A 10,025-nucleotide genomic window follows, 5' to 3' on the forward strand; every position below is an offset into this window, starting at 1 on the left:
CTTCAAACAAGGCCCACCCATGACATACACCAGATGGCTCTCCAAGAATCTCTCCAGTTCTCAGGGTCCCTAAGGTACTGGACAGAGCTGGGAAAGCAAACCCATTTGCTTCTTCCTGCAGGAAACCCCTTGAGGTCAAGACCCCACAATCAGACGAGGATGGAGTGGCTCACCCTCAGTCAACAGGCCAGGCTCAAGGTGGTATAATGTCTTAACCAAGGGTGTGGGACTCCAGGTCTGAATCCGAACTCAGTTCTCCTTTGATAACCACACTTTGTTAATTTTCCTTAACAGGGGTTCCTGGCAAGTCATTTCTCCCTCAGGCCTTCGGTTTCCTCACCTACAAGATGAGAAGGCTGCACCAGATGGAAATTCGGGACGTAAGGGGATGTCCACACGCAGCCCACCCTGCCCACGGGCCCCTCGAGCCTCCATCACAGTTCCCAACACGCACCCGGCCCACAAATCCTGCCCAAGGTGAGGGCTGGTCCTGGGACCTGCGGCTGCCGCATCAGCGAGTGCAGGAGGGAGGAGAAGCCTCCAAGGGGGTGACGCGGGCTCAAGGATGCAACTCGGCCAGGAGTGAACTGGGGCCCCTGGGAGATGTCCAGTCCGGTGCTGGAGCCCAGCCCTGGTCCCCGACCCCCTTACCTGCACGGTCCGTATCTCCTGCTGGGTGACGTCCTTGGACACAGCGCACTTGGTGCGCAGCCCGCGCAGGCTGCCAACGGAGATGCCGATGAGCTTCTGGAGCTGCCCGCACTGCTGCAGCACCCGGCTGGCTGCGGCCCCTGTGCTTCCCTCCGCGATAGCCGCGTCACCCCCTCCACAGACCTCCTTCTTCTCTCCCATCAGGGCCGAGCGCAGCGCCGTTCTATGCAGGCTGCAGCGGCCCAGGAACAGAGCCTGGGGTGCGGGTGTCTAGGCAAGGAACCCCCGAACCAGGAGAGCTGGACCAGGAGTGACCCTCGGCGCTGCCTTAGCCAGGACGACGGTAGATCTGGCAGCCTAGTCTGCCGATCCCGCCCTCAGACCCGCGGCGGTGGGGGCAAAAACCCGCGACGGCGGTGTGAAAAAGCCGCATTGGTAAAAACCTGTGGCGGCGGGAGTAAAAAGCCGCATCGGCAAAAAGCCGCGGTGGCGGGGAAAAAGCCGCGGTGATGGGGGCAAAAAGCCGCGGCGGCGGGGGGCAAAAAGCCGCAAAAAGCCGCAACGTGGGGTCAAAAAGCCGGGGCGGTGGGGGAAAAAGCCGGGACGATGGGGGCATCAAGCCACGGCGGCCGAGGCAAACAGCCTCGGCGACAATAAGCTGCGTGGCAGGGGCAAAAAGCTGCGGCGGCGGGGGCAAAAAGCTGCGGTGACTGGGTAAAAAGCCGTAAAAAGCCGCAGCGTCGGGGGCAGAAAGCCGCGACGGCAGGAGCAAAAAGCCGCGGCTGCAAAAAGATGCGGCGGCGGGGGCAAAAAGGCGCGGCGGGGGCAAAACGGTGAGGCGGCGGCAAAAAGCCGCGGCGGCGGGGGCAAAAAGCCTCAAAAAGCCGCGGCGTCTGGTGCCAAAAGCCGCAAAAAGCCGCGGCAGAGGGGGCAAAAAGCAGGGGCGGCAAAAAGCCACGACGGCGGGGACATGAAGCCGCAAAAACCCTCGGCGGCAGGGGCAAAAACGCATGGCGGCGGAGGCAAAAAGCGGCTGGGGTGATAAAAAGCCGCGGCGGCGGGGGCAGGAAGCCACGTAGGGGGCAAGGAGCCGGGGCGGAGGGTGTAAAAAGCTGCGATGGCGGGGGCAAAAAGCCGCAAAAGCATGGGCAGTGGGGTCAAGAAGAGGCGGCAGGAAAAACCTGCGGCAGCGGGGTAAAAAAGCCGCGGCGGCGGGGGCGAAAAGGCGTAAAAAGCCGCGGTGCTGGGGGACAAAAGCCGCGGCGGCAAAAAGCTGCAAAAAGCCGGGGCGGCAGGGCAAGAAGCCATAAAAAGCCGCAGCGGCGGTGACAAAAAGCCGCAGAGAAAAAATTCACGGTGGTGGGGGCAAAAAGCTGCGGCAGCAGGGGGTAAAAAGCCTCAAAAAGCCGCGGCGGCGGGGGGAGAAAGACGCAAAAAGCTGCGGCGGCGAGGGCAAAGAGCCCCAAAAAGCCGCGGCGGCAGGGGCTAAATTCCGCGAGACCGGGGGCAGAAAGCCGCAAAAAGCCGCATCGGCGGGGGCAAAATAGTCGAAATGGGGTAGAAGGCCAGCACAGCTTGGCATTCCTGGAGTGTGATGTGGAAGGAAAAGTGAAGAGGAAGACAAACAAAGATGTAAGTAGGCTTGACTCCGTGCATCTAAGAACCCAGATGTTATCTTGATGTTATCTATCAGCTAATTTTTTGTATTTTAGTAGAGAAGGGGTTTTACCGCGTTGGCCAGGATGGTCTCGATCTCCTGACCTCATGATCCACGCACCTCAGCCTCCCAAAGTGGTGGGATTAGAGGCATGAGCCACAAAGTGCTCAAAAAATCTATTAATTAAAAAATGTGTATGTAGCCGTCTTTAATCTACCATGTCCATTAGCAGATAAATACTACAAGCAAAATAACAAAATGAAAGAAACATAGAGTAGATACTCTGATTTATTTAATAAAAATTTGAAAATAGACCAAATTACTCTATGATAAAAAAAAATCTGTTACTATTGAGGATGAGGGTTAGTGTTTGGAAAGGGGCAGGAGAAGTATCTCTATTTTTAGTAATGTTCTATTTTCATACATGGTTATAAGCAAATACATGTGTTTCATTAATGAAGCTATCCATATTTAATCATTGTACTTTTCTGCATGTATGATATATGTCAATAAATGTCTTAAATTATACACAGCAAAAATAGACAAAAACACAAGAAGACATACACAAATGTTAAACCTAGAGAGAAATTTGAATATAAGTAAGTCTCTGAATGACTGGTAGAACAAACGAAAAATAGGATGGAGAGGTTTGGAACAGCATGATTAGGAAAATTGACATATCTGTCTTTTAATATAGGTAGAAACATAGCCAGATTAAAAAAAGGACTTGTCTCAGAGCATGATTTCTGAAAATAGTGGAATCGAGTTTGAATCTAGTAAGTACATATAAATAAATGTCTTAAAACTCTTCTTATGTTAGCTAATTAAGAAATATTATTGTAATAGACATTAGAAAATATTTTAATAAATTGAGTGCATTTCACACGCTAAGGAAATGATCTTACTTGCATTTGATAGTTGAATTAGATACATATATACCTATAGGTAGTTTAAAATATTTCCAATAACCTTATATACTTTTAAAAAGCATTGATATCTGTTTGCACTATCTGGTCTATAGAGTACACATACCAAACATGATTATAGCTCTTCTGCTGTAAACTTCAAATGTCTAATTAATACAAAAATCTAGAATGAGAAGAGTTCTTTGCAATTTTTTTTTTACCAAATAGAGTATAGGAAAGATAGCTGCAAATATACCTGACACACTTATCTGTGAGTATGGTGGTAGCCTTTTTATTTTATTTTATTTTGAGAGAGGGTCTCACTTTGTCACCCAAGATGGAGTGCAGTCATGTGATCAGAGCTCACTGAAGCCTTCACATAGTGTGCTCAAGCGATTCTCCCACCTCAGTCTCCTGAGTAGCAGGGACTGCAAGTGCACGCCACCATACTAGCTAATTTTTGTAAAGATGGTGTTTCACCATGTTGCCCTGGCTGTTCTCCATCTCCTGGACTCAAGAGATCTGGCCACCTTGGCCTCCCAAAGTGCTGGGATTATAGTTTTGGGGCACCGTGATCAGCCCAGCCTTAAAAAAGGCAGACTAGAGATCTTTATCTATGTATATCTATATCTATCTATAAAATAAACATATGTGTTCCTTATATAAAAATATATATTATTATATAAAATTTTTTTTCAAGGTAGAAATATATAAAGAGGGTGCATGTAGAGCCTGGGGCATTGTGTAGTGAAGCTCAAGGCCTCTGAAGAAATGCCCATTGCCTCTTTTGTCTGGGCTAGAATCCGAGAAGGGAAAGCAGCAGATGCACTGGTTCCCAGGTTCTTGGCATCCTACAGAGAGAAACTTGTTGAGCTAGGGTAGTGTTTAACACCGTTATTCTTACTCTTCTGTTTTATGTAGTAAGCAGAGACTAGCTTCATGAGAACAGACAGTGACAGTCAAGGCTGTCTGTTATTTTCTGCAGCATTAATTGAGAAATTCTAGCACCTGAAGACCTCTGGGCCATTTGAGGGTAGGTGCAGGGGAGGAAAGGGAAGTTTGCATCCCTCCTGCTTTGGAGAGAACCCGTGGGAAGGACAGACCTTGTCCTAACTGAAGACAGAACCCCTTGCTAACCAGCTTCTCATCAGCCAACCCTGGATGAGTTTCCATGTCTATTTACTAAATAATCCTTATTGCTCTTCTTCATATGGGCAAAGTATGGTTTACAGGGAATATTGTTCCTTTGAACACCCATCGTGGAAACCCCTTCCTGTTGTGGGAAAACAGGCTTCCATATGTGTCTTATTGGGAAACACATAGGCAATTTCTATGTTTTTACTGCATCTCTTTCAGGGATATGGGAACTGAATAGTGCCCATCAAAGTCTCACCTGATGTTGGAAATTGATCTGAGAGCGCAGAAGGACAGAATTCTTTCTTTGTTCCTGGGCAGCGGTGGTTGAGGGATCATTTTGTGGCAGCTACAGTGGCAATGATGGAGGCAGAATGGAGGGCTCAGTACCAAGACAAGGAGAGACTTGGCCTCACAATGGCAGCATTGCAGGGGTGCGCTCTACAGAGCATTTGCTCACATGGTTTTGGGCATTGTCTCTAACTACATTGCTTCCCCAATAGGTTGACCCATTCTAACTAACTCCTTTTCTCTTTAAAAAAGCAAACTTCATTTGTATGTCTTGCAATTGTAAACGACACCAACTGGCCAGTTATCATTCAAATTCTCTGTTACTTAATCCTGCCTTTTCCTGACGTATGCAACTTTCACCTAAAAAATTGGACACTTTGTTGCTTACTCATTGTCTTTACACATTTTAAAATGTTGCTTTGTGCCCCCAATCCCTAACTACATTTTCAATGTTTTGCAAGTGGAGTCCATGTGTTCTTGATTTACATGAAGCTCAAAATAATGGTTATAGTAACTAGTACTTCATAATTAAATGAAAAGCTCTTATTGAAAAATGACAGAACTATACATAGGGATGAGAACATGGAGAGATATTTCGTGAGATCACAAAGTTATGGTATGGCAGAAGTAGAACGCTGAGTAGAGACTCTGTGTTCCCAATCATTATTTCTACCACCAGCTTTCTATTTTGATGTTAATAATGTTCTTATGTGGGAAACCCTACATATTTGCTAATGTTTAGTTCATTGACAAAGAAATAGAAAGAGCTTCAAGAACACTCTAATCTTTAAAAAATAAAATACCTATAATTGGCCATACGAAACAATTGGTACTTGACATATACTGAGATCGCTTTATTTTGTGCTAGACAAATGAAGTCATAGAACAGAATGTGCTTTAAATATTATGAATAGTGCTTGCATGTGTGTGTGTCTATAGATGCATATTAGGCCGCTGAAAAGTTTTATTATTCTTTCCAGGAGAGAGACTGCCAACTTTTGAACCTAACTACAACAAGTATATTGTTTCTTCATATTTTTATTAAGGCAAAGAGAGTCTAGTTAAAAATAATTCAACTTATCATGGAAATGCTATAAATTGCTGTGAAGTGAGTTGCTGGCTATGGCTTGTCAGAGCAAATATGTTGTAGAAATCTTAGGGGAGAATTAGTGCTTGTGCATTAAAATCAAATCATCTTGCAGCACACTGAGAAAAAGGTTAGATTTTTAAAATAATTTCAAAGTCATGAAAAGAGCAAATATGCTCCACAAAGAGCCTAGCAACCCTCAATGACCAATGCCCCTTTTATATGTTTGATATCTGAATTAGAATCCCAGAATCTACAAATTCCTCTGGGTGTGGGTGCTGCATTTTGAGGATTTTATAACACTGCCATCACCAAGCTCTCTTTTGATATTCACTTTAAGGAGATAATTTACGGGCAACCAGAGAGCATAAACCAAAGTAGATATCTATCTAGATAGCTAGATACATCTCCATATCATTGACAGGATACATTCTGGCCGAGTGTGAGTACAACCTATAGATGTGGTTGGAGAGAACAAGAGTTCCACCTGAATGGCAGATCAGGATTATTCCTTCTCATCTGCGGCAATGGCTCAATGTGTTAAGGAGAGGAGCGAGACAGCAAGAACCGCATTCATTCAGTCATACAGACCAAAAGGAGGAATGTCGCCCAGCCCTCTAAACTGACCCAGAACCCAGCTCATGTCTCAACTCCTACCTCTCCTACTTAGAAAGAAGTAACTCCACCAAAGCAGGGTTCTGGACAAATATATTTTTATTGATCATATACAAATAGATGAAGATGGACTTGGATGTTAAGAAAAATAATACTATACAAAATCGAGAGTAGACAGTCGCCCCTAGACTTAAATTAAGGGTGTGTACATTAGATAATTTAATCCAATGTATCAGGTAAAAACTTGAACAAACCTTTTGGCCTCTTCCTTAAAATTCAGGGAAGCATGTCCTCCAAAAAACAGAATCAAAATATACATAAAAGATTGGCTTAAGATGAAAGGAAACCTTACAAATGAAAAGAAGCCAGATGAGAGGCACTTAACTGAGAATGAAAAGAAACTGAGTGGACAAAATAATTATGAGAAGATGAACCTTCAAATCAGAAAGAGGGCAAAAAGCTTATTTGATACTATGGGAACTCAAAAGAGAGTGAACACAAATGTGAAAATTCCAGGAGTAAAGAAAAGTAGCATAGCTAAATTAAGAGCATGAGAAAATATATACAATTTTGAGTAATAAGAACAGAAATCAAAAGTAACCATTGTATGTTATATTTTAGTAGAGCAACACTGAAGAAGAATGAAAACAAGAAATAATATTAAATATGAACATATGGAGAACAGAATAATATTTTTAAAATTTTTACTTTCTAAGCTTATCTGAAATTTTAATTTTGTTTTCTTATGTAATACCAGAGTCATTAGGAAGGTATTATCTAATAACACTATTTTCAGTGATATTTTAAGTAGTTGTCCTAGAAAAATTTTATTTTTAAAAAATGTATATTTAAAAATACATTAAATGTGTATATACATCAATCATATGTATCGATTTCTGTTTTTCTTGAATTGCAAATGAAATTTGTATTTTTGTTTTCCTGGAATAAAATAAACTTGAATGGATTGTAATATGTTATTCATGCTGTAATTCAATGTATTTGAATACTTTAAAAATGTTACGTTTATAGTTAACAGATACTGACCTATAAATTTTCTGTCATATAATGATGCTGTGAGACAATCTAAGAAGAATTAAAATTTAAATTCATGTATTCCTACTTTTTTCTCTGTTCTCTAACTGTAATATATTTTAATTACAGATGGGGGAACAGATAGATGTTAGATAAATAGATATATAATAGATCATCCAAAATTCTTATTCTTATGGTTTTATGTAGTCAGTATTTACCTCTATTTTTCTACATGTTTATCCTTCCAATTTAGTTCATTACTTTCTGCACCTTTGATGTCATATATATAAACAGGAAATAACACATGGTGGCCGGGATGTAGAGAGAGCCACAGGACTTGTGAATAAAATCCACAGGCAAGGATGTGGCGATTCCTTTTGCAATATTGGAGGGAATGCCAAACCCTATGTTTGCTGTGGAAAAGAGTACGGTAGTTCCTCAAAACATCAAAATGGTATTGCCTTATGATTCGGCAGCCCCACATCTCAAGATAGCAAAAGAATTGAAAGCAGAGTCTTGAAAAAATATTTGTACATTCATGTTTGCAGCAGCATTATTGGCAATAGCTAAAACGTAGAAGCAATGGAAGTGTCCTACTACAGATGAATGGATAAGCAAAACATGATATATACATACAATGGAAAATTATTCAGCCTTAAACATGAGGGAAATATTCTGACATATGTTGCAACTTGGATGAAACTTGAGGATATTATGCCAAGTGAAATAAGTTAGTCAGTGAAAGACAAATACAGTATAATTCCATTTGTATAAGAGACTTAAAGTGGACAGAATCATAGAGGTAGTACAATGATGATTGCCAGAAGCTGGGGGGAGGAAGACATGGGGAAGTACTGTTTAATGGGTATAGAGTTTCAGTTTCACAAGATGAAACGAGTTATGGAGATGGATGGTAGGGATGGCTGCACAATGTTATGACTCTATTTAGTACCACTGAACTGTACACTTAAAATGGTTAACAGAGTACATTTTATGTTATGTGTATTTTACCACAATAAAAAATAAAACACCTTAGGAACATTTTCCTGAAATAGTCCACATAAAATTCATTTTAATGCATGTGTTTATGCATAGCTTTCTATTTTTCTCTTTTCTATTTATATTCCAAATTAGAATATAATGCTAATCAAGCATAGTGGCTGTGTTTCTTGCTTCCTCTAGTCTGCAGGCAGCATACAAATGTAATAAACTACTCATTAATGTCACATCTATTTATTTTCTGTCTTATACCAAGCTTGTGGGATTCTCTTAAATACAACATTTTTATACTTACACCTATGCAATACCCATTAGCATCGCCTTCCTAAATCAGGGGAAATTGAGTCTCTGTAAGGTGCAGTAACTTACTAAGATACAAAACTCAGCATTAAAGTCTGTATACTTCAATATCCTGCCCTCTTCTCATTTGTCTTTACTGCCTTTTATGTATGTGTTAGATGTTCAATAAATTCTCTTTTATAAACTGAATTTAAGCAGTGGAGCAGTGTTTTGTTGAACAATAAATATGATATAGGACACTCTTCCTCCCTTTCATTTATGATGCAGTTCATGAAAAAGAGAAATCCTTTCATTGTGCTAGAAGCTTAAAATAATGAAAATGCCACCTTCTACATTAAACAGAAACTGAAGGGAATCAAGATGAATTGGATGAGACATAGAAAACAAGTGGGAAATAAATCTAGTATAATTTCCCCTTTGTGTACCTTTGTTATTTTGCATTTGAGAAAACGTTTCCCCCAAATATCTTCCCATTTTAATTCATGTCTCTAAAGTAGACATTTATGTCTCACCTTGTCAAGAAGGGCAAACTCTAACATATACATTTCCCAAAAATGCTTCCTGCTAAAACAAGCTCAGTCTGGCTAGAAATTAAGCTCACTTCATAAAAATTAGTTGGTAGCTAATCTTTGCATGCTGTTCTCTGAATTTGAGTGAAAGCTGTCCATCAGGCATACAGGGAATGACGGAAAAGGTGACAACAGAAGATGAATGCTATGTCACTAACCTTCAAAGATGACCTGCCTTTTCTTTCAAATTCTTGATATCTTAAGACTTCATTAATTCATCTCTCTTTGCCCTTGGTTCAACATTGTGCTATGCCAAAAGTCATGTAAAACAATGATCTATTGTAATAAAAATGGCATTTTTCTTTCATGTAGATGCAAGCTATCTGTCATTTTTACAATCAACATACTTCCGTTGTCAATTTTTCATTCTGGATTGGAACTAATTGATAGGTATTTCTGAAGGGATGAAGGTGTTTCTGCGTTCATTGTGATCCAAACGTTTTTTAGACCTAGTGGTGTTTGTAAAACAATTTGTGCCAGCTGACCAAGGACCACTGTGGCAGAAAGCAGCAAACTTGCATAAGATGTCGCAGCCTCATCAGTTTGCTTTGAAAACTAGGGGCTTATTCTATAGTCCTATGAATCAAAGACATTGATAGATGTAGTATAAGATTACAATCATATTTTCCTTTTGACAGTCACATTATAAAGCATGATGTATTGCAATTAATCTCAATTAGCTGATGACAATTAAAATTAATAGTTTATTATTGCTGATAAACAATCATGACTCTCCTGTTCTCAAATGTGCAAGGAATTCTTGTAATTTTAAAACAAATTTGCAT

General features: G+C 41.2%; 1 pseudogene; it reads left to right on the plus strand.

Annotated features, from left to right (window-relative positions):
* Positions 1-603: 603 nt before the first annotated feature.
* On the plus strand, positions 604-1,693 carry LOC101929923 (translation initiation factor IF-2-like; annotated as a pseudogene).
* The last annotated feature ends 8,332 nt before the right edge of the window (positions 1,694-10,025 follow it).

The sequence above is a fragment of the Homo sapiens genome, chromosome 16 (genome assembly GCF_000001405.40).
Source record: "Homo sapiens chromosome 16, GRCh38.p14 Primary Assembly".
NCBI lineage: Eukaryota > Metazoa > Chordata > Mammalia > Primates > Hominidae > Homo > Homo sapiens.